Source organism: Homo sapiens, chromosome 13, assembly GCF_000001405.40.
Source record: "Homo sapiens chromosome 13, GRCh38.p14 Primary Assembly".
NCBI lineage: Eukaryota > Metazoa > Chordata > Mammalia > Primates > Hominidae > Homo > Homo sapiens.
The window spans coordinates 113344965-113372926 of NC_000013.11; the positions used below are offsets into that span (position 1 = coordinate 113344965).

The window sequence follows — 27962 nt, forward strand, 5'->3', positions numbered from 1 at the left end:
ATTAGAAAAATGAGAAACAAATTCACATTGAGTTTTAAGCCCCCATTTGATTCTGCAATCATTCGGCTACAAACTACCCAGTTTCCATTTCTCTTGCTTCTCCTTAAAACCTGCATAATTGCAGAATGATCCTTTAGTAGAACTCTAGAGTCACTAAATACCTACCGTCTAGTAATGTGTTTAGTCAAGCTTACGTGAAAAGTAAAAGCAAAAGGAAACAGTTTAAAGAAATCCTGAATACTAAAATCAAAGACTCTTCCACTAATGGTAACCTTGTGATAAAAGAACATAACTTACCATTGCTTTCTAAAGAAATTACTATATATCAACAGCATGAAACTCTCTGCCAGAGAGAAAATTATACCAATGACCACATTTTATAAAACCGTAAGGAACATGTGCTGACACGCGGGTGTTAGGAGAATTTCGTGGTGGAGACCCTTTTGGGAAATCCACGTGCACACCTGCCAAAGGGCGGGTGCTGCCTCCAACATCACGTATGTGACCCTCTCCATCGAGGGCAGCCCCAGACCCTGGGGGCTTCGCAGCCGTGAGTCAGCGCCATTTCCAGGTGACTGCGTTTTACACGACTGAAATTCTCTTCTTTGTCACTCATTTGTAATTTCTAAAGTAAGTATTTCTCTAGTAATAAGGGAAAAGAATCCAGCTTCTGCCAGCCCACAAGATCAATTCACGTGATCGGAAGTGCGGAGGGGCAGCTGCAGAGAGCGATGCTGGCAGCAGCGCGGCGGCTTCAGTCACACAGGGATGTGGCGCTGTTCACCCGGAGCCAAAGCACTGGAGGACGGGCACGCAGCCTTACACGTCCCTTGGCCTGGACCTCCCCTTAAAAACAGACCCTAAGAGTTTCACTCAAAAAGCAAAAGTAACCAGTGCAGAGAAGATCATGTTCCAGAAGATGACGATGGAAGCTCTGGGAAGAACCGACTGCTTCGAGCTGATGACGGAAATGCTGGGAAGACCTCTGTGGCCAAAAGCAGACCCAGGAGGACTTTTGTGGCCGAGAGTGGACCCGAGAGGACCTCTGCGGCTGAGCAGACCTGGGAAGACATCTGTGGCCGAGAGCAGACCCGGGAGGACCTCTGCGGCTGAGCAGACCTGGGAAGACATCTGTGGCCGAGAACAGACCCGGGAGGACCTCTGTGGACAAGAGCAGACCCGGGAGGACCTCTGTGCCTGACAGTGGACCCGGGAGGACCTCTGTGGCTGAGAGCAGACCCGGGAGGACCTCTGTGGCTGAGAACAGACCCGGGAGGACCTCTGTGGCCGAGAGCAGATCCGGGAGGACCTCTGTGGCTGAGCGGATCTGGGAGGACCTCTGTGGCAGAGAGCAGACCCGGGAGGACCTCTGTGGCCGAGAGCGGACCCAGGAGGACCTCTGTGGCTGAGAGCGGACCTGGGAGGACCTCTGTGGCTGAGCAGACCTGGGAAGACATCTGTGGCCGAGAACAGACCCAGGAGGACCTCTGTGGACAAGAGCAGACCCGGGAGGACCTCTGTGCCTGACAGTGGACCCGGGAGGACCTCTGTGGCAAAGAGCAGACCCGGGAGGACCTCTGTGGCAAAGAGCAGACCCAGGAGGACCTCTGTGGCCGAGAACAGACCCGGGAGGACCTCTGTGCCTGACAGTGGACCCGGGAGGACCTCTGTGGCTGAGAGCGGACCTGGGAGGACCTCTGTGGCTGAGCGGATCTGGGAGGACCTCTGTGGCAGAGAGCAGACCCGGGAGGACCTCTGTGGCTGAGAGCGGACCCGGGAGGACCTCTGTGGCTGAGAGCGGACCTGGGAGGACCTCTGTGGCAAAGAGCAGACCCGGGAGGACCTCTGTGGACAAGAGCAGACCCGGGAGGACCTCTGTGGACAAGAGCAGACCCGGGAGGACCTCTGTGCCTGACAGTGGACCCGGGAGGACCTCTGTGGCTGAGAGCGGACCTGGGAGGACCTCTGTGGCTGAGCGGATCTGGGAGGACCTCTGTGGCAGAGAGCAGACCCGGGAGGACCTCTGTGGCTGAGAGCGGACCCGGGAGGACCTCTGTGGCTGAGAGCGGACCTGGGAGGACCTCTGTGGCTGAGCGGATCTGGGAGGACCTCTGTGGCAGAGAGCAGACCCGGGAGGACCTCTGTGGCAGAGAGCAGACCCGGGAGGACCTCTGTGGCAGAGAGCAGACCCGGGAGGACCTCTGTGGCAGAGAGCAGACCCAGGAGGACCTCTGTGGCCGAGAGCAGACCCAGGAGGACCTCTGTGGCTGAGAGCGGACCTGGGAGGACCTCTGTGGCTGAGAGCAGACCCGGGAGGACCTCTGTGGCTGAGCGGATCTGGGAGGACCTCTGTGGCAGAGAGCAGACCCGGGAGGACCTCTGTGGCCAAGAACAGATCCGGGAGGACCTCTGAAGCCGAGAGCAGACCCGGGAGGACCTCTGTGGCTGACAGTGGACCCGGGAGGACCTCTGTGGCTGAGAGCAGACCCAGGAGGATCTCTGTGGCCGAGAGCAGACCTGGGAGGACCTCTGTGGCCGAGAGCGGACCCAGGAGCACCTCTGTGGCTGAGCGGATCCGGGAGGACCTCTGTGGCAGAGAGCAGACCCAGGAGGACCTCTGTGGCTGAGAACAGACCCGGGAGGACCTCTGTGGCTGAGAGCGGACCTGGGAGGACCTCTGTGGCTGAGCAGATCTGGGAGGACCTCTGTGGCAGAGAGCAGACCCGGGAGGACCTCTGTGGCAGAGAGCAGACCCGGGAGGACCTCTGTGGCCAAGAACAGATCCGGGAGGACCTCTGAAGCCGAGAGCAGACCCGGGAGGACCTCTGTGGCTGAGCGGATCTGGGAGGACCTCTGTGGCAGAGAGCAGACCCGGGAGGACCTCTGTGGCCAAGAACAGATCCGGGAGGACCTCTGAAGCCGAGAGCAGACCCGGGAGGACCTCTGTGGCCAAGAACGGACCTGGGAGGACCTCTGAGGCCGAGAGCGGACCCGGGAGGACCTCTGTGGCCGAGAGCAGACCTGGGAGGACCTGTGTGGCTGAGCGGACCTGGGAGGACCTGTCTGGCCGAGTGGACCCGGGAGGATCTCCGTGGCTGAGAATGGACCCCTTTGAGTGGACAGTGCTACTGGACCTGGGAGAGGGCGACCATGTGGACAGTGTGGACACATGGAAATGCAGGTGGGTGATCATCGTGGAGAAAAAGCAGAACATAGCCAGGCACAGTGGGGGATCCCAGCACTGTGAGAGGTAGAGGCAGGAGGATCGCCTGAGCTCAGGAGTTCAAGACCAGCCTGGGCAATGTGGCAAAACCCCGATCTCTACAAAACATACAAAAATTACTCGAGCGTGGTGGCGCACCTGTGGTCCCAGCTACTCAGGAGGCCAAGGTGGGAAAATCGCTTGAGCAAAGGAGGTTGAGGCTGCAGTGAGCCGAGATCACGCCACTGCACTCCAGCCTGGGTGACAGAGCGAGACCGTGTGCACTGTGTAACTCTACACATATGCCACACATTGAACTGTGTTGCCCGCCCCAAAATTCATCTGTTGAAGTCCTAACCCCTAGTACCTCAGATTGGGACCTTGTTTGGGAAAAAGACTGTTGCAGATGTCATTACGGATGGGGTCATGGAGGAGTTGGTGGGCCCTATCCAAGCCTGGTGTCCTTGTCTTACGTGGAGCTTTAGACACAGGCATGCACAGGAGAACGCACATGGAGATGGAGGCAGAGATTGGAGTAGTGATGCCACCCGCCGAGGGGCACCCAGGACTGCCAGGAACCAGCAGAACCAGGGCAAGGCCTGGGACAGTCCGTCCGTCACAGCCTCAGAAAGAACCCGCCCCGCAGACGCCGCGACCTCACCTGCCCCGCAGATGCCGCGACCTCTGATGCACAGCTTCCAGAGCTGAGAGAGAATTCGTTTCCACTGTTTACCAGGCTGTGGCATTTCCTTAGGGGCCCACAGCAAGCTAACAGGTGCACATCTCCGCACACACATGTACGTATGTGCCTGTAGGTTCCAAAAGCCAGCTGTGCTCTGGCATTCTGTTAGTATGTAACATTGTGTTTGTGCCTTGTTTTTTAAGAATAGAGATGGGGTCTTGCTCTATTGCCCAGGCTGGTCTTGAACTCTTGGCCTCAAGCAAACAATCCTCCTGCCTTGACCTCCCAAAGTGCATGATTATAGGCAAGGGCCACCCAGGTGGGTGGTGTTTTTTTTTGTTTGTTTCTCGGTTTTTTTCAGACAGGGTCTTGCTCTGTTGCCCAGGCTGGAGTGTAGTGGTGCCAACATGGCTCACTGCAGGCTTGACCTCCCAGACCCAAACGACCCTCTCACCTCAGCCCCTCGAGCAGCCGGGACCACAGGCGTGTGCCACCACACCCCGCTAATTTTTAAAAATATTTTGTAGAGATGGAGTCTTGCCACCTTGCCCAGGCTGGTGTATGCATTTTAATAAAGCTGTTTTTAAAACACAAAGGAGCAGTAAATAGAATGATGTAGAGGATTTCTTGCCCATTCTACCTCAACTCCAGAAGGCCACGTTCTTGCTCCTGGACAGTCATAAAAGTGAGGAATGGCAGGAATTCTGTCTGCAAAGGAGGGACTCTCCCAGCTTCACCCGACACGGCACTGCCAGCCAGCTACAGAGCCACACACGCACAGCACGTGGAACAGCTGGTGAGGACAGCGTGGTCCCGTGGCTCTGCTGCTGGCCTTTCACAGGGCGCTCCTCACGCAACGTCCACCCTTTCTCCTCGGGAGCATTCACTCTGCCAGGTGCCAGGCCCAGGGCTGTCCAGGCAGGGGCTCCACACTCCTCCAAACGTTCACTCAAACTGCATTTTCTGGTTGGTGCACGCCTGGCTCCCGGCTCCTACAGGAAGTTTCTGGGGGCATCACTGGGACTGCTAGGTTCGAACCACCCATCGCGACGATGTCCTTCCCTGTCCTCCTAGAAACGTTTAAGCCAGCCACAACCCCTAGGAGCCCGTGAAGCACATGGCCTAAAATGCCAGGAACGCACTCTCCAATCCCGGTGGCAGCCGTGGGCTCCAGGCTCTCAGCCACGGGGACTCACAGGCAGTCACGGGCTGTGCGCACACCTGGAAACCCTCGTGGAGGCCAGCCCTGCCCAGATGCCTGCCCTGCCCTCGGCGAGCTCAGACAGACTGGAACAGCACCACCAGCGACAGGCCCAGGCAGGACACACAGGCTGGGAGACTGCACGGCTCCTGGTTGCCCTGCATTCCGGCCTGTTCACTCCACTAGTTACTAACAGCAATGCCCTTAATATGCGCCCAGCTAGGTGGCCTCCGGGAGGCGCAAGGACTCTCCCAACTGCAGCTGCTGGTTCACACCACGGAGCCAGCCAGGGGATGACAGTGTAGACAGCAGACACTCTGGGAGTGGCCTCAGAGGACGACACACACCTCACAGCACATGCACCCCATAGCACACACATCCCACAGCGCACGCACCCCACAGCGCACGCACCCACAGCACACATATCCCATACACACACCCCATGGTGCACATGCCTTCCAGCATACACACCCCACAGCACACACACCCCACAGCACACACACCCCACAGCACACATATCCCACAGCACACACACCCCACAGCGCACGCACCCCACAGCACTCGCCCTCTGTGTCCCGTGCTGATTCTCCTCCCGCCACCTGAGGCCGGAATGAGGTCGTCGGCTGCTGCTCCCTGTCCTCCCTGCTGGGAAATGGCGTCCGAGCCTCAATGGGGCATCAGGACGTGGAATTCATGAACAGGGTTGACAGAGACGTGAGGCCGTCACTGCCGAGCCTGCAGCTGTGGACAGACCTGTCCTCACAGCCACCTCATGGCGTCAGAGGGTCCCGAGGCTCACCTGGCAGTAGCCCACTCCCTGGTTATGGTGCCCATATGCCAGCAGCACATTGTACAGGGTCCTCTGTAAGCAGGGGTCCGTGGTCTTCCGGAACTTCACGTTGTCGGGGAAGGTCCGGTTCAGGTCTGTGGGAAATTCAGAAGGAATCACCCACGGGTTTCTGTTCCACAAGCCTCCCACCCCTCCAGCTGCCCCGAGGGTGGCCACCTGGGTTCCACTTGGGACTTACGGACTGGTTTTCACCCTGGCCGCACAGCAGACTCAACACAGCCAGAGCGACAGGCTCACTGGGCCAGGAAGGAGGGGGTGATCCTGAACTCGGGGCGGAGAGGGGCCCTAACCGTCCTTCCCGCAGAGTCAGGGACAGCAGAGCGACCCCAGAGCTGGTGGCCAGGCCATGGCACTCCCTCCTCAATGCCCGTCTCCTCCCGGCCCCCAGCACAGGCCTCCTGCACCTCGGACCTCGCGCGTAGCGGAGGCAACTCTGCCTCGAGGACCCAGGGTGACAGGTGGAGAGAAATGCACACAAAACTTTGAGGTGTTTTCCTAATTTCAAAGATCCAAAACAGAAGGAGACAGAATAAATTGAGACTCCTCAGAGATAAAGGACACGGCTGAGAGCTGAGAGCTGAGAACTGAATAAACCTCGAGTTGTCAGCTTGTGTGTGCAGGAGGCATCCCTGCCGGCCTCTTCCTTCCTCAGCACCAACCCCTCCCACTGTCCCGCCCAGGCATCTCTTGGCAGGACAGTGTGGCCTTGGCCAAGCTGTTTAGTGCTGGGGGACCCGGATACCACGTGGGTCCCTGAGACTAACCAAGCCTCACGCTGACCAAGTGCCAGGCCTCACTGAAGCTGACCTCCGCGTTAACCCTGGACACAAGCCGAGCAGGAAGGATAATGCCGGCTTGACAACTCCACTGGTTTCTGCTCCCACTGGCCCTACCTCTGTTAGAGGTGTTCGCCAGGCACCCCATGCGGTCACCAGCAGACAGCCGCTTTCTGCACAAGTTCCAAGATGGACTCACAGCAGTCCCCGCCAGCCATGACGCTGAGATGGGTGTACACCCAGCTCTGGAGGAACCCAACCGCCTGTGGTCTCTCCACAACGGCTGCAAAATACTGTAAGTCTGTTTCCGACCTCTGGCCCCAGGCCTTATCTTTGCTTACAAAAAACTAGATTTGGGCCAACATTAGTTCAATGCCTCAGAGCACATTATTTCTCATTGTGTGTTTTCTTACAAAAGAGCCTTTTTTTTTTTCTGGAATTCTAAACATTCCAAAAAATGGAATCAGTCAAGGGGAAGTTAGTATTTTTGCTATTTCAGACTAGAGTGACCAGCTGTGTTCATTTATATGTAATATTTTTATTGAGTTTTCTATATTTATATATATATTTATATATATTTATATATTTTTATATTTTTATATATATTTATATATATTTATATATATTTTATATATATTTTATATATATTTTTATATATATTTTATATATATATTTATATATATTTTATATATATATATATATTTATATATATATTTAACACAGGGTCTCACTCTGTCACCCAGGCTGGAGTGCAGAGGTGCAATCACGGCTCACTGCATCCTCGACCTCCAGGGCTCAAGCGATCCTCCCACCTCAGCTTCCTGAGTAGCTGAGACTACAGGCACACACCACCATGCCTGGGCTAATTTACGTATTGTTTTGTAAAGACAGAGTTTTGCCATGGTGGCCAGGCTGGTCTTGAACTCCTGAGCTCAACTAATCCGCCTGCCTCAGCTTCCCGAAGTGCTGGGATTACAGGCGTGAGCCACCACACTAAGTTTCTTGATATGTTTTGATAACATCCTGTGGGAAAGGAGATGGCTCCATCTCCATTGTGGAGACAGAAGAGCATGGGAGCTTTCTGTCTGCACTGCGTGGCCTGGCATTGGCTCTGTGGGACTGGACCATCCACTGCATGGCTCCTGAAAGATAACTGACCAGGTGGCTCCAATTACTAAGCACAGAACTGTCATGGATCCAGCAGCCCCACACTCTAGGTAGGAGCCCACAGCTGAAAGCAGGGACCCAGTAGAATCCACACTCTGGGTAGGAGCCCACAGCTGAAAGCAGGGACCCAGCAGAGTCCACTCTAGGTAGGAGCCCACAGCTGAAAGCAGGGACCCAGCCCCACACTCTGGGTAGGAACCCACAGCTGAAAGCAGGGACCCAGCCCCACACTCTGGGTAGGAACCCACAGCTGAAAGCAGGGACCCAGCCCCACACTCTGGGTAGGAACCCACAGCTGAAAGCAGGGACCCAGCCCCACACTCTGGGTAGGAACCCACAGCTGAAAGCAGGGGCCCAGCCCCACACTCTGGGTAGGAACCCACAGCTGAAAGCAGGGACCCAGCAGAATCCACACTCTGGGTAGGAACCCACAGCTGAAAGCAGGGACCCAGCAGAATCCACATACCCAGGCTCACGGCCATGCCACCCATAACAGCCGTGCGGCAGGAGAGCCCAGGGGTCCACTGATAGATGGATAAATGAACAAAATGTAGTCTGCCCATGCGTGGAATATTATTCACCCTTAAAGAAGGAGGAAATTGTCACACAAGATGCAGTACAGAGGATCCCTGAGGACTGAGGCGAGGGAAAGGACCCCAGCTGCAGAGGACGCAGCCCACGGGACTCCTCTTATGTGACCCTGGAGTTGCCAAAGCACGGAGACAAGCGTACAGTGGGACTGCCAGGGGCTGGGCAAGGACACGGGGGTCGGTGCTTGACAATGGGGATGGCACAGAGACAAGCGCACAGCGGGATTGCCAGGGGCTGGGTGAGGACATGGGGTTCAGTGCTTAACAATGGGGAAGCTCCCAAGAGCTTCAGCTTGGGAAAATGAAATGGTAAATTTTATATTAGGCATATTTTACCATAATTTAAAAAACAATTCAGCCAGGTGGGTGGCTCACTCCTGTAACCCTAGCACTTTGGGAGGTGAAGGAGGGCGAATCCTCAGAGCCCGGGAGTTCAAGACCAAAACCCCATCTCTGCAAAAAAATAAAAATTAAAAAATGAGCCAGGTGTGGTGGTGCACACCTGTGGTTCAGACCACTTCCAGCTACGCAGGAGGCTGAGGCAGGAGGATCGCTTGAGCCTGGTAGGTCACGGCTGAAGTGAGCTGTCACTGTGACCGCACCACTACACTCCAGTCTGGGTAACAGACTGACACCTGTCATAAAAAATAAAAAAATTCATCCAAAAAACCACAAAACAGAGACTTTAAATGCATTTTTCAGACAGCAGTGCTGTTTTAATATGCACCCCCACCCACTGCACCCAAGCTCTCCTCTTCCCACCCTGAATCAGCGTTTCTGGCCGCCAGGCTGTGCACTGGAGACCTTTGGCGGCCATCACTCTGTGGTCAGGATGCAGCCTCTCCCCTGGCAGCCCCAGCTCCCAGCCTTGGGAGCCCCCTCCCCACTGGCTCAGCCCCGTGGACAGGAGACCCCCAGGAAGGGCAGCAGGATGCACCATGTCCTCCCCGTCCCGTCTTTCTAACCTCTCAGCACTTTAAAGCCACTGGGTTTTTTAAAATTAAGTATATTGTGTTTAAATGTGTATTTCTCAAAAACTGTTAAAATCAGAAGGGCAGATGTACTTTCTAAAAATCTATTCAATTTAGGTTAACCAATATTTTTTTTTTTTTTGAGATGGAGTTTCACTCTTGTTGCCCAGGCTGGAGTGCGGTGGTGCAATCCCAACTCACCGCAACCTCCACCTCCCGGGTTCAAGCGATTCTCCTGCCTCAGCCTCCCGAGTAGCTGGGATTACAGGCATGCGCCACCACGCCCGGCTATTTTGTATTTTTAGTAGAGACCGGGTTTCACCATGTTGGGCAGGCTGGTCTCGAACTCCTGACCTCAGGTGATCCGCCCTCCTCAGCCTCTCAAAGTGCTGGGATTACAGGCGTGAGCCACCGCGCCCGGCCTTAGGTTAATCAATTTTGTTAGCACTCTGAACTTCTGAGAGCCAGGGACCCTATGGTTATGTGATTACTGAGAAAAATCAGAGGAGAAGGGAGTCCAGCAATTATGATAACCAGATACAAAAAAGGAAGCCCTGGTGTGCGGCCTCATGAGCGCAGCTGCGTCCGAAGGCCGCGTGAACAGTGCCCGGTGCGAAGCGCACCGGCAACAGAGGCCGCCTCTCCCTGTCCCGCGAGTCTTCATGGAGCGCATCTGCTCCTTCATGCCCATTTTCTTATTAGCCAGCTAGGCACGTGAATATCTGCTGAGTGAATTACGATCATTGTTCTCCCCTTGCAAAGGCTTCAGTTTTGATTCTTTCATGGAGGAAGACGTAACTTCAAGTTAAAAGCAGCAGGCGCACCGCTCACCCCTGGACGCTGAGGCTAGACACTGGGTGGAAACCGGTTCCTTCCGGCCCCCGGGCCCTGCACCAGAGCTCGACCCCCACCGCCTCACCTGTCCTGATGGCGTCCTCCAGCCTGGGGTTTCTCTCTCCCTGGAGAAGCTGGTGGTAGTAGCCGGGATTCTGGTCCATCTGCGCCTGGGCCCCACTCAGCACCATCCAGACGCGGGCACGGTGCTCCAGCGGGACCCCTTTCCGGACATAGCGCTTCACTGAAGGCCGAGAGGACGGACAGCGTGTGAGCTGGACCAGGGGCCTGCGGGGCCCACGCGTTCCTGCCACACTTTCCACTCTCACCAGTTCTCTTCTTAAATCAAATATTAAAGAGACCCAGAACTTCGTCCATCTCCACCAAAACTGGTACATATACTCCTTTAAAAATTCTGCTCTCCTCTCCCTCTCAACAGAGCACAAACCAGACTGGCTACAGAACCGCCCCCACGCCCACTTCACCATTCAATGCAGGTGGTCAAGAAACAGAGCCGCGGTCAGATGGCTGCTCTGCAAAGCTTCCTGGCAGCCGTGCAGAGCAGCAGCAAAGGGGCAAAGCAGTGAGAGGCCCAGCTGAGTACAAGGAGGCCGGCTGGGCTCAGCTGTGAGCACCTCAGGTGGGACGCCACAGCTGGGAGAACACGGTTTCAGTGGCAGACGTCACTGTCCAACTCGTGCAGTTAATCTCTATATATTGAAAGCTACTCCATTTTGTAGGGATATTTTAATTGACAATAAAAATGTGAAAAAGTAATTAGTAATTTTAATGGCCACAGAAACATATAGGGACAGAAAGAAGCCAAAAGCCATGAGCTATCTTCATTAGTCAATACTGAGTAATTTCTTAGGCAGATGGAAAAGGTATGTATGGCTAACATCTGAATTAATTATGTTAAGTCCAAAGCTGCGACACTGTGCTCTTAACCTACAAAACAGTTAATTTTCAAAGCAAATATTTAAAGTTTTGCTGTTTTCCTTTGATACTACACTATATATATTTTATTTTATTTTATTTTATTTTTTTCGAGACGGAGTCTTGTTCTGTCGCCCAGGCTGGAGTGCAGTGGTGCAATCTTGGCTCACTGTAACCTCTGCCTCCCAGGTTCAAGCAATTCTCCTGCCTCAGCCTCCTGAGTAGCTGGGATTAAAGGCACCTGCCAACATGCCTGGCTAATTTTTGTATTCTTAGTAAAGACAGGATTTCACCATGTTGGCCAGGATGGTCTTGAACTCTTGACCTCATGATCCGCCCACCTCGGCCTCCCAAAGTGCTGGGATTACAGGCGTGAGCCACCACGCCTGGCCCTGCACATATTTGAAAAGAAACCAATATTTTAAAAGAAACCATACTTTACAAAAGAAAAGAAGGCATATGCAATTTGTAAAATTCTATAAGCTGCCTTAAAAGAAAAAAATCTGAGGCACCAGCTGTATTTAGCAGATAAAAACTCATAACTTTATAGGCTACAGTCAAGAAAAGCACTATAGGGTAAAACTTTATGAGCTCAAATTCCAAGGTGATCCACAATGTATGATCATCTGGACACGAGCAGATGATCATGTGCTATGTGATTACTGAGAAAATCAGGCTCTGGAAGGACAGGCCCTTGTCTGTCCACTGGGCCTCCCACTCCTGGAAGGGAACCTGGGAGGCAGTAATTGCTCACTAAATACGTGACGAATTATACAAGGACAACGAGGGAAGACCCAGAGGAGAGAGAAAACAGACACTAATGCCATCCACTGAAAGCCAAAGAATCCCTCTTAAGGGCCGGGCGCAGTGGCTCATGCCTGGAATCCCAGCACTTTGGGAGGCCAAGGTGGGCAGATCACGAGGTCAAGAGATCGAGACCATCCTGGCCAACATGGTGAAACCCTGTCTCTACAAAAGATACAAAAATTAGCTGGACGCGGTGGCTCATGCCTGTAATCCCAGCACTTTGGGAGGCCGAGGTGGGCAGATCACCTGAGGTCCAGAGATCGAGACCAGCCTGGCCAACATGGTGAAACCTCATCTCTACTCAAAATACAAAAATTGGCTGGGCGTGATGGCTCACGTCTGTAGTCCTAGCTACTCGGCAGACTGAGGCAGGAGAATAGCCTGAACCTGGCAGGCAGAGGTTGCAGTGAGCCGAGATCACGCCGCTGCACTCCAGCCTGGCGACAGAGTGACACTGCCTCAAAAAAAAAAAAAAAAAAAAGAATCCCTCTTAAGAAACCCTCTTTCTGGTTTAGAAACATATTTGAGGATCATGTCTCAGGTAAGAACATCTCAGCACACTTGGTTTACGGTTTATTCACACTGCTTACAGGAACATGAAAAACATGTTTTGCTTTATTTTTAAAATTCTACCAAAGACACCAATAATTCAGCCTGACTTTCCTCCAAGTTAGTACGATTCATACTGAGGTTTGCTGTAGGTCTCATGACCCTCAGAGGGCAGCTTGACCAGGAATGCTCTGAATGAGTTCTTAGTCATTCTGTGCTATACAACAGCAGGAGACGGTGAGTCCCAGCACAGGCAAGGACTGTTCTAACTGAGAGGGACAGAAGCAGAAAGGAGAGGCCATGCAAAAACCAGTGGTACTTCTACAAACTAATAATGAACACCTGGAAATCATATATTTAAAACTGCGGCCTGGCGTGGTGGTTCATGCCTGTAATCCCAGCACTTTGGGAGGCCAAGGCGGGTGGATCACCTGAGGTCAGGAGTTCAAGATCAGCCTGACCAACATGGCAAAACCCCGTCTCTACTAAAAAAAATACAAAAATTAGCCGGGCGTGGTGGCAGGTGCCTGTAATCCCAGCTACTTGGGAGGCTGAGGCAGGAGAATCGCTTGAACCTGGGAGGCGGAGGTTGCAGTGAGCTGAGATTGCACCACTGCACTCCAGCCTGGGAGACACAGAGAGATTCCATCTCAAAAAATAAATACATAAAAATAAAAAAATAAAATTGGCATCATTTACAATAGTAACAAGAAATAAAAGGAGAAATACTTAGGTAAAAATCTAATGAAGTATTTGCAGGATCCAAATACTGAATGCTGCAAAAGCAATCAAATAAGACTGAAATAAACTAATAGATACACCATGTTCACAGATTGCAAGGCTCACTCTTAAGACGTCAGTTCTTCCAAAGTTGATCTACAGATTCCTATATGCACCTCTTTATCACTGTTCCAGGAAAAAATACTTTGTAGACAATGACAAGCTGATTCTAAACTTTATATGCAAAGCGAAAAGAACCAAAACAATTTTGAAAATGAAGTTGGAGGAGACATATTACCTGATTTTATGCTTTACTATAAACCTACAGTAAGACAGACAACGTGGTACTGAAAAAAAGGTAGACAAATGAAATAATGGGATATGATAAGGAATCCACAAAGAGACCCACACAAACAGAACCAATTGCTTTTTGATAAAGATGCAAAGGAAATTTAATGCACACAGAATAGTCCATCTACAAAAGAATGACTAAAATAAAAAAACACCAACAATATGAAGAGCTGGCAAGAATGTGGAGCAATTAGGACACTCATATATTTGTGGTGGGAATGCAAAATTTACAGCCACATTGGAAAGGCGGTTTGTAATTTCTTACTAGTTAGTTAAACATGCACTTGTCACACGACCCAGCAATCCCATGCGGTGTTTAGTCAAGATAAATGAAGACCAAGTTCACACAAAAACCTGTAGGTGGATGTTTATAATGTCGGCTTACACATTCCAAATGTCTTCTGCTGATGAATGGGTTTTTAAAAATTGTAGTACATCCGTAAATGAAGTACCTCAGCAATAAAAAGGAAGGAACTATTGACACATACAAGGTCCTGGATGGATCTCCAACGCATTAGGTGAAAGAAACCAGACTCAAAGGCTACAATCTGCATGATTCCACTAATGACACCATAGAAATGGCTGAACTACGGGAATGGGGAAGAGCTCAGTGATGTGAGCAGTGGGCTGACTTCAAAGGACAGGATTGTTGAAGGCGACAGAATCTTGACTGTGGTGATGACTGCCTAGCTGCGTGTTTGTCCAAATTCACAGAACCATATACTGTTAAGAGTGAATTTTACTGTAAATTGTTAAAATTATTTGATAGGCCAGGTGCAGTGGCTCATGCCTGTAATCCCAGGAGACTCCATCTCTACAAAAAAACCCTTAAAAATTAGCTGGGCATGGTGGTGCACACCTGTAGTCCCAGCTACTCTGGAGGCTGAGGCGGGAGGATTGCTCCTCTAGGCTGCAGTGAGCTATGATCGTCCCACTGTCCTCCTGCCTGGGTGACAGAGCAAGACCCTGTCTCGATAATAACAATAATATCAAGGTTGTATTTAAGAGAAAGGTCGAAATGGCTAAATGCACCAGCTCTGGAGTCAGACACTCTGCTCCGCTATGACTTGCAGGCTCCAGACCCTGAGCGTGCCTTGGTTTCCTCATCGTAAAGTGAACAGAAGGCACCGAGCCTGCACCCAAGGCCCCCGAGCAGCTCTGGCAGTTGGAGCAACACCCGGAAGCTTCACGGAACAAAGAATTCTGCGACTTTTTGATAAGTTTGTTATCTGGATTTACACTGTTTCTTTATAGAAGAAAGAAAATTGTTTACTTGTCCTCACAGACTGACACTTTCCCAAGGGCAGGGCTAACGCACAGAGCATCACTAATGTTTGGAGAAGTATAAAATATCAAGTCAAAACAGTTGGGAAATTTTTAAAAAGAAGCTACATCCAGAGAACTGACGTCCATCTGTCTACCCTGACAAAGTTAGGCAAATCCCCAGTTTTTCGGTGTATCTTTGAAAATATGTTTTCTCGATTTAACTTAGGTGGTGTTAATATTCTAAGCCACCAGGAAGGAGGTCTCAAAGAAGCCAACGGCCCTGAAGCTGCTTCCCTGCAGACGTCTATTCTCGAGATGGAGAATGAAATAGGAATCCAACAGGACTAAGTTTGTTGAATTTAGTCTTTCCAGGGAGGAAGAGGAAGCTGTCTTCCTAAGGGCTCCTGGTGGATATTTGCTATGGAAAAAGGAAAATACAATATTTATTGTACCCACCAAGAGTGTGATCAGGCAGAATACATAATAACTGTCCCTTAAGACATGTGGAATGCTGAGATTGGTAGATGATTGTGTTCCTGGAGACTTTAACATGGGGAGTGCAGATGAAAACCCTCCAAAAGGAGAGGAAAGAACTCTATCACTGTCAGCCTGGAATACCTGGCAGGAAGAAGTGGTATTCCCATTTTTGGAATAACTCGTCCACTCCAGTTTTATACCCGACCCTCTGCTCTTGGGGCTTTGCCAGTGCTCATGGGCACCCTGACGGTCACACTGGGACCCAGGCCCCAGGCCAGTAGAGACACGCGATCACTGACTCCATGTGCCTCCCACCGGAGTCACCAGCATCCCTACTCCCTGCAGAACAGGCCCACAGCCCTGTGGCTCCCACCCCTCAGGCTGAGGCTCATATAGGATCAAAGAGATATATTTGCTCACAGACCCATTTATGCCAGTGATGCTTGCTACCATAATTACATGGTCCACTTAACATTACATAAATTAGCCCAGCATGGTGGCTCACGCCTGTCATCCCAGCATTTTGGGAGGCTGAGGTGGGCGGATCACTGGAGCTCAGGAGTTCGAGACCAGCCTGGCCAACAAGGCAAAACCCATCTCTCCTAAAAACACAAAAATTAGCCGGGCATGGTGGCGAGTGCCTGTAATCCCAGTTACTCAGGAGGCTGAGGCAGGAGAATTGCTTGAACCTGGGAGGCAGAGGTTGCAGTGAGCCGAGATTGCGCCACTACCCTCCAGCCAGGCTGACAGAGCTAGACTTTGACTCAAAAAAAAAAAAAAAAAAAAAATTAAAGCAAAAAGAAGAAAGTTGTTACTTCAATAAAAACAAAATGAAATTTTTAGAAAGAGTTGATAGAGACCAATGCTAAAAAAAAAAAAAAAAAAAAGCAAAAACAAAACTGTTGACTTAGGTGTAAAATAATTGCAAAGGAGTGGGGAAAAGAATAAAAATCTGGAGGATTTTGCATCCGGATTGCTCTTTTCCTTTTCCCTGCTCTTCCCAGAACCCCCTCCCAAGTCCATATTGGAAAGTGGGGGCAATGTGCTGAGTGGTTCCCTAAAAAGGAAAATATGGAACCCAAGTTAGCAGCTCCTGGTCGAAGAAAAGGACAGCAATAGGACAGACCCAAATGGCAAAGGCAAAGACGGGAGAATGACTGTGCAGTTGTGTTTTCTGTAAAAACAAAAATTTATGCACAACCATACATCTTTCAGATTCTCCGCTGTAACCAACCTCCAGGTCACAGCCACAGGACTTCCCACGGACTTCCCCTGCTCTTAAAGCAAACTGCAGAACCAAGCGTGGACTTCTGCTCCTGAGGGGGACGGAAGGACAGTCCCCTGCGGTCATCTCTATAGGAGATGGGGGCCATGGGTGGGAGAGAAACTCCCTGTTGCACTTTGTAGCCCTCAGTATGATTAAAGTGTTTACCATGTACATAAATTATGCTTTTTAAGTTCACATGTCTTATATACTTTTACGTTACTTTTTAAAATTAAAAGACAGTTAACTTTTAAGAATAAATCAGGCGCAGTGGCTCATGCCTGTAATCCCAGCATTTTGGGAGGCCAACGTGGGCAGATCCCTTGAGGTCAGGAGTTTGAGACCAGCCTGGCCAATATGGTAAAACCCATCTCTACTAAAAAATAGAAAAATTAGCCTGGCGTGGTGGTAGGTGCCTGTAATCCCAGCTACTTGGGAGGCTGAGGCAGGAAAATCGCTTGAACCCAGGAGGCAGAGGTTGCAATGAGCTGAAATCATGCCACTGCACTCTAGCCTGGGCGACAGAGTGAGACTCCGTCTCAAAATAAAAAAAATAAGAAAATAAAAAATAAATTAGCCAGGTGTAGTGGTGTGCACCTGTAATCCCAGCTACTCAGGAGGCTGAGGCAGGAGAATCACTTGAACCCAGGAGGTGGAGGTTGCAGTCAGCTGAGATCGCACCACTGCACTCCAGCCTGGGCGACAGAGTGAGACTCTGTCTCAAAAATAAATAAATCAAAAAGAATAAATGAAAAGGAAAAATAAAGACACACGTTCCACTGGAAACATGTGAACATGCAGAGGCCACAGGGATGGGACATGATGCATTCGTGGGAAGCATATAGGATATTAACTTCCATCTCTATAAAAAATTTAAAAATTAGCCAGGAGTGGTGGCCACACCAGTGGTCCCAGCTATGCGGGAGGCTGAGAGGGGAGGATGGCTGGAGCCCAGGAGGTCAAGGCTACAGTGAGTGGTGATTGTGCCACTGCACTCAGAGGGATACCCTGTCTCAAATAAATAAATAAAAGCAAAAGTTGATCTTGTCACCCCCTGCCTGGAAAACCTTTAACAGTTGGCTTCTCTGTGCCTGGCCGTGGTCACCACACACCTCCGACCCTCCGCCCAGGTGCAGGGCCCCTGGTTTCATCTCTGTCCTTCCCCACCAGGTCCCTACTGCTCGGTCCCTGGAAGCCCAGCTGCCATTCACATCCCCCTTCTCAGGAAGCCCCCAGGACTCCCCTTTGACCCCACTTCTCTGAGTTCCTAGCTCCAGGGCACACTCCCACCAAGCCCTCACCCCAGGCAGACACTTCATTCATTCACTGAACACACAGGGAAGTCGCCTGGCACTGCCCCAGGTTCTGAGGACTGAGCAGTGAATGAAAAATCCGTTGCAGGGAGGAAGGGTTTTTGACTCCAGCAGGGGCTGTGCTGGGAAAGGCAGAAATGAGGAGGTGCCCTCCGCACAGGGAAGCCTGGGGCGCCCCGGAGGAGGGGGCCCTGCAGCTAACCCCGAGGCGGGCGGGCGGTCAGGCCGGTGCTCACCGCAGCAGTAGGAGGCCTGGGGTCGCGGAGGAGCGGCAGGTCGAGCAGGGCCCTGTGGGTCCCGTCACAAGGACGGAGTCTCGCTCTGTCGCCCAGGCTGGAGTGCAATGGCGCAATCTCGGCTCACTGCAACCTCCGCCTACTGGGTTCAAGCGATTCTCCTGCCTCAGCCTCCAGAGTAGCTGGGACTACAGGCAGGAGCCACCACGCCCGGCTAATTTTGTATTTTTAGTAGAGACGGGGTTTCACCATGTTGGTCAGGCTGGTCTCAAACTCCTGACCTCGTGATCCGCCCGCCTCGGCCTCCCAAAGCGCTGGGATTACAGGCGTGAGCCACCGCGCCCGGCATGGATCGAGTTTTGATCCATCCCGATATGGCTCCCTGCTGGGAGGGACGGGTCTCCTTCGCGTCCGACCCGCCGGCCCATCTCAAAGCGGGAAAACCGGTCCCTGCGGCTGCCCTAGCTCGGAGCCCGCAGCTTCGTCCCGACCTGCCCGGAAAGGTTCCTCCCCCTCCCTCCGCTCCGGGAGCCCGGACTTTGCCCGGCCCGTCCCAGCCCAACCCACCTGCGCCCTCGGGACCCACCTGCGCCCCCGGGACCCACCTGTCCGGCTCCTGGGGACGCCCCCGCCCTGCAGCAGCCGGGACCATTTGATCGCCCTGCGGGTGAGCGTGACCAGGTAGCTGGAGAAAAACTTCTCGTAGGCGGCGTCGTCGAAGTCCTCAGGCCGCTCGAATCCGTACGGGTCGATCCTGCAAAACCGAGAGAAGGAGGCCGGCGTCCCCGAAGTTTCCTCTGGGGGGTCGCGGGCCCGCGCGGGGACCGCAGCCGCCGGGGACGCCCGCACCCCGCGCCACACACCTGGGGACCCGCGAGCGCTCGGCGGGCTGCATGCGGGGAGGGAGGCGCGCACCGAGCGAGGCCAGCGGGTCCCAAGTTCGCCTCCCGGCTCCGGGGCGCTTAAGTCCTTCCGGCGGGACCGCGGGCGCGTGGGGGCGGGGCGGGGAGCGGAGAGGGGCGGGGCTGGAGGCGGGGGCGGGGGGGGGCAGGGCGGGGGGAGGGGCGGCTGGGGGCGGGGAGGACTTGGGGAGAGAGGAGGGGCAGGAGCGGGGGAGGGGCAGGGGAGCACCCAGGGCGGGGGAGGGGCGGGGCTGGGGGCGGGAGGACCTGGGGAGAGAGGAGGGGCAGGAGCGGGTGAGGGGCGGGGGAGGGCCGGGGGAGGGGCAGGGGAGCACCCAGGGCGGGGGAGGGGCGGGGCTGGGGGGGCGGGAGGACTTGGGGAGAGAGGAGGGTGGGGGCGGGGCGGGGCCTGCTCCCGGGGCTTCCGAGGCCGCGGCGTCCCGCGGGCAGAATCGGGGGCGCCTCCCGCAGAACCCCCGCGGCCTGGACCCGGGTGAGAGGAGCTTCTTCTGCGATTCCTTCAAACCTCAGTGCCTGGCCGACCCGACTCTGACACCTGACTCCTATTTTTATTTTATTTTTTATTTTCTCCGCTGCATTTCAAGGCCGAGACCAACACACAAATGAGAAGCCCCCAGGGGCGCCCGCCCGTTCCTGCCCCCCCAAACCAGGGACCGGGGTCCCCCCACCGGCGAGCCAGGCCTGGGAGAATCCGGGGCAGCTCTGGTTCCGAACGGCTTCTTCTCGGTCCGCATCCAATGACATTGTCCTGAGATTTCAGCTGCTTTTCGTGTCCGGGAGGCCCCGGAAATTTGCCAGAACTGCAGATTTTGAATTTTGCTCTGGCGACGTGGCAAAGGGGAGCCCCCAGACGTGAGGCGCTGGGGCGACCTCGCCCTGGGTCCCCCAGGGGTCTGGAGCGGGGGCTCCTCCGACAGGCCTCTCCCCGCCTGTAATTTAGGCCCAGGGCGACCTGGACAGGCCCCAGGAGGAGGCCGTCCCCGGACTCCAGACGCACTTTCCTGTGAGAAGCAGCCCGGCCTCGTCTGGGTGAGGCGAGGATCACAGGCTCAGCGTCCCCTGCGCGTCCGTCAGGGCCTTTCGGAACCAACTTGGGACCTTCCCATGGGTGTTTCCGGAATGTTCCATGCGAGCGCCACCCAGGAGCCTGGTCAGCAGCGTGTGGAACGGACCGGTCCCTAAGTGCGGACTCCCGCCTCTGCCTTTCACCCTTCTCCAGCCCTTGCAAGACCGGGGGGCGGGGTGGGGGTCAGTGCCCAGCGGAGCAGAGCCCCCGACACGGTTCCTCCCGTTCCTAGTCTGCTGGTTCTGGGAACTCCCCAAGCTTTCAGCCCAGCTCCTCAGCACTGGCCTTTGGTAACACGCGGCGTCCCTCATTTGAAAGATCACACAGCCCCCACTCTACGGTCTGACCTCCTTGGGATGTTTAGACCCAAGCCAGGAGACAGGGCCATAGCCTCCTGCCCCTCGGCCTACGGGTGCCCCACAGTCCAGGACTGACAGGTGGGCGTCCGTCCCCAGGGTCTTCGAACCCCGTCTGGGCTCCTCTCTGCCTAAGTCAGTGACTCCCTGAACCCCTCTCGGGCTCTAACTGACGCCCGAATTTCCTATATCGCATCCCTCGCGCTTTCTGGAGCAACAGACACAGTCCTGCTCCCCACTTCCCAGCACCCGGGGTCCTGCGCCCAAATCGCCCCACACCGCGCAGCTTCTGTTCCAACCCCAGGCCTGGAAGCCTCACGGCTCCCCTTTTCCCTAATTCCTGCCTTCTGGCCATGGAGATGGGGTTCTAACCTCCCTTTCCCACCACTGCCGTGGAAAGCAGCGTGGCAGGCAGCACGGACCAGGGGCCGCCAGCTCCCGAGCCTGAGTGTGATGGCGGGACTGCCACCAAGTGTATTTTTGGGCCAGATGTAGGGAGACTGTGGGGGAGCAGGTCAGATAAGAGCGGTGCCCTCCAGGAAGAGTGGAGAGGAGAGATACAGAGAGGCCAGAGCCCCAGGCTCTGTGCAGGGTGGGCAGCCAGACCGAGGCAGCTAGAAAGGTCTCCCGCTCCAGCCCAGGCCTGGCCAAGCCCCAACCTGGGACCTGACTGGGAGACAGCAGCTCCTATCTGGAACAGCTCCCACCTGGGACAGCTCCCACCTGGGACTGTGTCCCTCAGGTGCCTCCATTCACCGCCCCCCCGACCCCAGTGCCAAGCACCCAGCAGGCACCCGAGCATCCTCACACAAACTCCCTTTCTGTGAAGCCACCAGCACAGTCAGCCATGATGCAAAAGCCAGGTGCACACCCACCCCAGGAGTGACTGTGCTGGCCACAGCCGCTCCAGACAGCCCTTTCCGGGGGAGGCTTTGCAGTGCTGGAGCTCTGGGTCAGCTTGCCCTGCAGTTCAGGGACTCAGAATTCACCCTCCCCCGGGGGACCCAGCTCCCTTGCAGGAGGCCCTCTTCAGTCTGAGGGGCCTCAGGGGCCACACCAGGGGGCCTCTGTGGGGTCACCACCCATGATGCCCCTCCTCCCTTCAGGAATTCAGCCGTCTTGTTGCTTTTTTTTTTTTTTTTTTTTGAGTCGGAGTTTCACTCTTGTTGCCCAGGCTGGAGTGCAATAGCTCAATCTCGGCTCACTGCAACCTCCGCCTCCTGGGTTCAAGCGATTCTCCTGCCTCAGCATCCCAAGTAGCTGGGATTACAGGCATGCGCCACTACGCCCAACTAATTTTGTATTTTTAGTAGAGACGGGGGTTTCTCCATGTTGGCCAGGCTGTTTTCGAACTCCCGACCTCAGGTGATCCGCCCACCTTGGCCTCCCAAAGTGCTGGGATTACAGGCGCGAGCCACTGTGCCTGGCCCTTGTTGCTTTTTTTGTAGAAGCTGCTGCCCTTTGGAAGTTAGAAGGGCTTCAGGAGTACTTCAGTTCTGGGGTGCCCATCAAGATAGAAGGAACGTCTAGCATCCCCAAGGCCGGGAGGACCTGAGAAAATGGGATGTGAGTACAGAGGACAAAGATAACGGCAGCAGAACCCACCGAGCAGTGATGAACCATGACGTGGGCATCTTCGTGGAGCCACAGCATGTGCCAAACCCCACGGAGCTCCAGGCTGTCCTGGAGGCTGAAGCCAGTCAATTGACCACATGCTGCCTGGTTACAGGAGACGGGCAACTGGGAGTGGGGAGGGTCACCCAAATCTCACTGCAGGAAATTCCAGTGCAGTGCGACTCTAGCCCTGAGGGGAGGACAGGTCTTGCCAGAGACCTGTGGGTCCTGGTGCTGCAGAGCTGGCTGGGGACTGGGACGCTGCATTTCCAACCTGCTAGCAGGAGGCCCTGCTCTGGCCCATGGACCGCATTGTGCAGCCAGGCTGTGGAACCCGTGGCCTGATTTTCAGCAGAGGGCTGGAGACAGAAATCGGCGGCGAGGGGGCAATGTTATAGGTGGAAAGGGTGTGTTAATATTTCAGGGAGAGTCAAGCCCTCATCTGAGGTGTGTGTGTATATACATACATAATAATATATAACAGTAATGATTATTTTTAAGGAAAATTGACAGATAAGCTTTACCTGAGCCCTATGATCCTGGGAGGTTAGGAAGTCCCCCCCTTTATGTTCTGGAAACAGCTCAGAACCCTGTCCCCAGGTGACAAAGATGAGATTCATGATGTCCCTTATTTACCTGTGACAAGGCTGGACACATCCTCCAAAGTCCTGTCTTTTGCCTCATAAATATGTAACTGAACTGTTGTTCTAATTGGAACCAAATACACTGGTGACCAGTTCTGGTTAAGTCTCCTCCAGGGCCCTGACCGTGGGCCCAGTGACCAGTTCTGGTTAAGTCTCCTCCAGGGCCCTGACCATGGGCCCAGTGACCAGTTCTGGTTAAGTCTCTACCAGGGCCTTGACTGCGTGCCCAGCCTCAGCCTGGGCAGGGGTTCAGATGCAGCTTTCTCGCATTGCTGCCTGGTCAACAGGCCCCCCACCCCCCCTCCCCACACCTGCTGCTCCACTGCACACAAGAAAACCGCGTTTTGCCCAACTCTTGAGACCTCACCGGTCTGACACACTTGCAATCATCCTTTCAGAAACAGTACCAAGTCTAGATTTTTTAAAACGCTCTCAATTTATTTATTTATTGCTCCTGGCAACCACTCTTCTACTTTCTGCTTCTACGCATTGGAGATTTGCTTTTTTTTTTTTTTTTTTCTGGTTTGTGACAGGGTCTTTTTCTGTCACCCAGGCTGGAGTGCAGTGGTGTGAACTTGGCTCACTGCAGCCTGGAACTTCCGGGCTCAAGTGATCCTTCTACCTCAGCCTCCTGAGTAGCTAGGACCACAGGCATGTGCCACCACACCTGGCTAATTTTTTAGTTTTTGTAGAGATGGGGGTCTTGCTATGTTGCCTAGGTGGTGTCAAATTCCTGGGCTCAAGCAGTCCTCCTGCCCCGGCCTCCCGAAGCACTGGGGTTACCGGCATGAACCACTGTGCATGGCCCTGATTTGTTTTTTATTTGACAAAAGAGAAGAGTACTTATGGGTAAAATGATATGAAGTCTGGAGTTGGCTTTAAAAATACTCCAGCACGCAGGGTACAGTGGCTCACACCTGTAATCCCAGCACTTTGGGAAGCCGAGGTGGGAGGATCACTTGAGGTCAGGAGTTTGAGGCCAGCCTGGCCAACATGGTGAAACCCCTTCTCTACTGTAAACACAAAAATTAGCCGGGCGTGGTGGTGGGTGCCTGTAATCCCAGCTACTCGAGAGGCTGAGGCAGGAGGATCGAAAGTTCAGGAGGTGGAGGTTGCAGTGAACCCAGATCACACCACTGCACTCCAGCCTGGGCAACAGAGTGAGACTCTGTCTCAAAAAAAAAACAACAAAAACCTCCAGCAAAGAAAAAAAAAGCAGAGGGTAGATTAAAAATAAAAAAAAAGCAACAAGATGGAACTCTTTGAAGATGACTGACTGAGGAGATTTTTGTGTCTGTTTGATAATTTGCTTTAAACGGTGAGGAGGGATGCCCCCTTCTTCTGGGGCCTGCCCTGCTGCGTTGACCATGGCAGCGTCAACAAGCTCAGGCCATGGTGAGTCCTAGCTTCTGGGCCAGAGGCCACCCTCCTCTGGAGCTGGGGCTGCAGGACTTCGTGTGCGAAGCATCACCTGACTCCCCCGACCCACAGACCCTCCTGCCTGAAAGCAAGCAGGGGTGCATGCAGGGAGGTGGGGAGACAAGCGCCCAGTCTGCAGATCCAGCGGCGCAGGCCGGCTCTGGGCCGTCCCTTTGCGCCTCCCGCCTTCCCTTTGCCCTGTGTTGGAGGCCTGAGCCAGAGCGTGCGGACCTGATCTTGCTGGGACGAGGGTGATGAGCGGCTGTCCAGGAGAAGCGGGCTGTGGCCACGCCGCGTGGGGAAGGCCCAGACGTCGAGTGGGCCTGGGCAGAGTCGGCCCCGAGCTCAGCCGCACCGTCGCTAGGCGCCCCTCTGTCCGTGGGAGTGACGGAGGACACGTGACTCCTGGCTGTGCCCGCTAAGCCGTGTTCAGCAATCCTGGTGGTTTTTAATTTATTTTTATATATTTTTTGAGACGGAGTCTCGCTCTGTCGCCCAGGCTGGAGGGCAGTGGCGCGATCGGGTTCCTGCCATTCTCCTGCCTCAGCCTCCCGAGTAGCTGGGACTACAGGCGCCCGCCACCACGCCCGGCTAATTTTTTTGTATTTTTAGTAGAGACGGGGTTTCACCGTGTTAGCCAGGATGGTCTCGATCTCCTGACCTCATGATCCTCCCACCTCAGCCTCCCAAAGTGCCGGGATTACATGCGTGAGCCACTGCACCCGGCCTATAACCCTGGTGGTTTTATGGCCGTCAAAGGGCAGCAGGCTTGACCCAGCCCCTATTCAGGACCCTCCCAATCTCAGGGACCACTGCTATCAGCCTCTGGGAGGTTGCCAGTGCGGGAGGCCCACCTTAAGGATGGTCACCTCAGGGCCTCTCTTGTAGGGGTTCTGTCCGAGAAGGCCTCTGAAGAAGGAAAGCACGTTGAGGGGGATGGCAGGGCAAGGTGCAGGCTGCAGGCTCTCCTGGAGTGGGGCAGCTCCCGGCCACCCCGGGCTCCCTCAGGAAGCAAGAGGCTGACTCGGAGGCGGCTTTAAAGTCAGGCTCTTCCAGTTGCTTTGCCTCTTTCATTTTTTCAGAATTTTTTTTTTTTTTGAGACGGAGTCTCGCTGTCACCCAGGCTGGAGTGCAGTGGCGCGATCTCGGCTCACTGCAAGCTCTGCCTCCCGGGTTCAAGCGATTCTCCTGCCTCAGCCTCCCGAGCAGTTGGGACTACAGGCGCCCGCCACCACCCCCGGCTAATTTTTTTTGTATTTTTAGTAGAGACAGGGTTTCACCGTGTTAGCCAGGATGGTCTGGATCTCCTGACCTCGTGATCCGCCCGCCTCAGCCTCCCAAAGTGCTGGGATTACAGGCGTGAGCCACCGCGCCTGGCCCATTTTTTCAGATTTTTGAACATCGGGTATTTTGCTAGGCTCTGGGTATGTGGGGGCTTACAATTTGGTTTAGGAGAAAATTTTAAGAGTGCTACCCATAAGCAGGTGCTATTTTCATAGTAGATAACAGGAACATTTTTATGAAATGTTGCAATACAATATGGCATTGCATAAAAACCGCAATAAAGTTCTGTGAGAATGAGGCCGCTGGTGGCTCACACCTGTAATCCCAGCACTTTGGGTGGATGAGGTGGGTGGATCACATGAAGTCAGGAGTTCGAGACTAGCCTGGCCAACATGTTGAAACCCTGTCTCTACTAAAAATACAAAAATTAGCCAGGCGTGGTGGCGGGAGCCTGTAACCCCAGCTACTTGGGAGGCTGAGGCAGGAGAATTGCTTGAACCTGGGAGGTGGAGGTTGCAGTGAGGCGAGATCAGCCTGGGAGACAGAGCCAGACTCCATCTCCATCTCCAAAAAAAACCACAACAACAACAAAAAACTGCTTTGCGAGAATGAGAGACGGAGCAAATCGTCTCCGGGCCATCCAGGAAGCCTTCAGGAAGCGATGTTTGTTCGGAGCGGGCGGTCCCACCTGAGCCTGCTCTAGCCTGACTGCCAAGCCCTGAAGGGCCCAGTGTAGGGCCAGGGCAGGAAGCTTGGTGGGGGCTGTGGTTGCTCCCCACCCCCTTCCCCTCTTCTCCCTTCCCCAGTGGAGCCCGCACAGTGCAGCGCTGCACATGCCCCAGGGATGCTGTGGCGAGGGGCTGCCGGCCGGGCTGGGCTGGATGGTGGGAATTCATTCTCTCCCCTTCTTCAGGCCCAGGGCTGGCTCTTCCTGAGGCCCCTCCCTCCTCCTGAGGTCTCCCTCCCTCCTCCTGAGACCCCCTCCCTCCTCCTGAGACCCCCTCCCTCCTCCTGAGGCCCCTCCCTCCTCCTGAGACCCCCTCCCTCCTCCTGAGGCCCCCTCCCTCCTCCTGAGACCCCCTCCCTCCTCCTGAGGCCCCCTCCCTCCTCCTGAGACCCCCTCCCTCCTCCTGAGGCCCCCTCCCTCCTCCTGAGACCCCCTCCCTCCTCCTGAGGCCCCCTCCCTCCTCCTGAGACCCCCTCCCTCCTCCTGAGGCCCCCTCCCTCCTCCTGAGACCCCCTCCTTCCTCCTGAGGCCCCTCCCTCCTCCTGAGACCCCCTCCCTCCTCCTGAGACCCCCTCCCTCCTCCTGAGACCCCTCCCTCCTCCTGAGGCCCCTCCATCCTCCTGAGGCCCCTCCCTCCTCCTGAGGTCTCCCTCCCTCCTCCTGAGACCCCCTCCCTCCTCCTGAGGCCCCCTCCCTCCTCCTGAGGCCCCTCCCTCCTCCTGAGGTCCCCCTCCTTGGCTGGCAGTGTCTTCTCCCCATGTCCTCACTGTCATGCTCCGGTGTGCCTGCGCCCTAATCTCCTCCTCTTATGAGGACACCAGACAGGTTGGCTCAGGGACCACGGGAATGACCTCACTGTACCTTAAGGACATCCTTATTTCTTTTTATTTTTGTTTGTTTTATTTTTTATTTTTTATTTTTATTTATTTATTTATTTTTTTTGAGACGGAGTCTCGCTCTGTCGCCCAGGCTGGAGTGCAGTGGCGGGATCTCGGCTCACTGCAAGCTCCGCCTCCCGGGTTCAGGCCATTCTCCTGCCTCAGCCTCCCGAGTAGCTGGGACTACAGGCACCTGCCACCACGCCCGGCTAATTTTTGTATTTTTAGTAGAGACAGGGTTTCACCGTTTTAGCCGGGATGGTCTCGATCTCCTGACCTCGTGATCCGCCCGCCTCGGCCTCCCAAAGTGCTGGGATTACAGGCTTGAGCCACCACGCCCGGCCTTATTTTTTATTTTTTTTGAGACAGAGTCTTGTTCTGTTGCCCAAGCTGTTGTGCAGTGGCGCGATCTCAGCTCACTGCAAACTCCGCCTCCCGGGTTCAAGCAATTCTCCTGCCTCAGCCTCCTGAGTAGCTGGGATAACAGGCGCCCGCCACCACGCCCGGCTCATTTTTGTATTTTTAGTAGAGATGGGGTGTCACCATGTTGGTCAGGCTGGTCTCGAACTCCTGAACTCGTGATCCAGCCTCGGCCTCCCAAAGTGCTGGGATTACAGGCATGAGCCACCACGCCCAGCCTTCTTTTTATTTTTAAATTAGAGACAGGGTAAACTTAAACCTAACCATATAATTCATTTCATTAATGATCTAAGCACTCCAATTAAATAGCAAAGATTTTTAAACTGGATAGAAACTAAGACCAGCGTGTACACCACCATCTACCAGAAAGGCTTTTGCTGTTGTTGTTTCAGAGACAGGGTCTCGCTCTGTTGCCCAGGCTAGAGTGCAGTACCTGCTA

At 54.1% G+C, this 27962-nt stretch overlaps 2 protein-coding genes and 1 long non-coding RNA gene across 7 annotated transcripts in view, besides 7 other annotated features; 1 reads left to right on the forward strand and 2 right to left on the reverse strand.

Annotated features, from left to right (window-relative positions):
- GRTP1 (growth hormone regulated TBC protein 1) overlaps positions 1-19184 on the reverse strand; it is a 39986-nt gene extending 20802 nt beyond the window's left edge. For 2 of the 4 annotated variants that reach the window (NM_024719.4, NM_001286732.2), the window contains exons 1-4: positions 19056-19166; positions 18798-18946; positions 10359-10517; positions 5885-6009 (exon numbers count right to left, since the gene is read on the reverse strand). In NM_024719.4, coding sequence (NP_078995.2) covers positions 5885-6009; positions 10359-10517; positions 18798-18946; positions 19056-19087 — 465 coding nt within the window. In that variant the 5' untranslated portion in view covers positions 19088-19166. Of the gene's footprint in view, positions 1-5884; positions 6010-10358; positions 10518-18797; positions 18947-19055 lie in introns of all 4 variants that reach the window. The other 2 variants (NM_001286733.1, NM_001411029.1) reach the window with 2 other exon arrangements.
- LOC124903217 (MAGE-like protein 2) lies at positions 2-3287 on the reverse strand. The gene is made up of 2 exons (XM_047430838.1): positions 2852-3287; positions 2-2021 (listed from the first exon to the last, which is right to left on the reverse strand). Exons 1-2 carry the CDS (start codon positions 3212-3214, stop codon positions 906-908), a joined length of 1479 nt encoding a protein of 492 aa, XP_047286794.1. The 5' UTR covers positions 3215-3287; the 3' UTR covers positions 2-905.
- Positions 3795-3960: a silencer, noted in NCBI's record as "fragment chr13:114003074-114003239 (GRCh37/hg19 assembly coordinates)". NCBI's record gives its function as "represses an EF-1alpha promoter that drives an FKBP-Casp9 reporter gene in an ReSE screen in HepG2 liver carcinoma cells {active_cell/tissue: HepG2}" and the evidence as "EXISTENCE:reporter gene assay evidence [ECO:0000049][PMID:32094911]".
- Positions 4609-5269: an enhancer, noted in NCBI's record as "H3K4me1 hESC enhancer chr13:114003888-114004548 (GRCh37/hg19 assembly coordinates)". NCBI's record gives its function as "activates a minimal SCP1, AML or CMV promoter by ChIP-STARR-seq in naive H9 embryonic stem cells {active_cell/tissue: H9 hESC(naive)}" and the evidence as "EXISTENCE:reporter gene assay evidence [ECO:0000049][PMID:30033119]".
- Positions 5270-5930: an enhancer, noted in NCBI's record as "H3K4me1 hESC enhancer chr13:114004549-114005209 (GRCh37/hg19 assembly coordinates)". NCBI's record gives its function as "activates a minimal SCP1, AML or CMV promoter by ChIP-STARR-seq in naive H9 embryonic stem cells {active_cell/tissue: H9 hESC(naive)}" and the evidence as "EXISTENCE:reporter gene assay evidence [ECO:0000049][PMID:30033119]".
- On the forward strand, positions 6709-16904 carry GRTP1-AS1 (GRTP1 antisense RNA 1). Of its 2 annotated transcripts, NR_046541.1 has the most exons (3): positions 6709-7006; positions 10202-11157; positions 16595-16904. It is a non-coding gene; the product is annotated as a GRTP1 antisense RNA 1 (long non-coding RNA). The 2 variants fall into 2 exon arrangements; NR_120385.1 differs by lacking the exon at positions 10202-11157.
- Positions 18750-19044: a silencer, noted in NCBI's record as "tiled region #43; HepG2 Repressive non-DNase unmatched - State 1:Tss, and K562 Repressive non-DNase unmatched - State 1:Tss". NCBI's record gives its function as "represses a minimal TATA promoter and a strong SV40 promoter by Sharpr-MPRA in HepG2 and K562 cells {active_cell/tissue: HepG2 | K562}" and the evidence as "EXISTENCE:reporter gene assay evidence [ECO:0000049][PMID:27701403]".
- Positions 20032-20725: an enhancer, noted in NCBI's record as "H3K27ac-H3K4me1 hESC enhancer chr13:114019311-114020004 (GRCh37/hg19 assembly coordinates)". NCBI's record gives its function as "activates a minimal SCP1, AML or CMV promoter by ChIP-STARR-seq in naive H9 embryonic stem cells {active_cell/tissue: H9 hESC(naive)}" and the evidence as "EXISTENCE:reporter gene assay evidence [ECO:0000049][PMID:30033119]".
- Positions 20726-21419: an enhancer, noted in NCBI's record as "H3K4me1 hESC enhancer chr13:114020005-114020698 (GRCh37/hg19 assembly coordinates)". NCBI's record gives its function as "activates a minimal SCP1, AML or CMV promoter by ChIP-STARR-seq in primed H9 embryonic stem cells {active_cell/tissue: H9 hESC(primed)}" and the evidence as "EXISTENCE:reporter gene assay evidence [ECO:0000049][PMID:30033119]".
- Positions 22114-22807: an enhancer, noted in NCBI's record as "H3K4me1 hESC enhancer chr13:114021393-114022086 (GRCh37/hg19 assembly coordinates)". NCBI's record gives its function as "activates a minimal SCP1, AML or CMV promoter by ChIP-STARR-seq in naive H9 embryonic stem cells {active_cell/tissue: H9 hESC(naive)}" and the evidence as "EXISTENCE:reporter gene assay evidence [ECO:0000049][PMID:30033119]".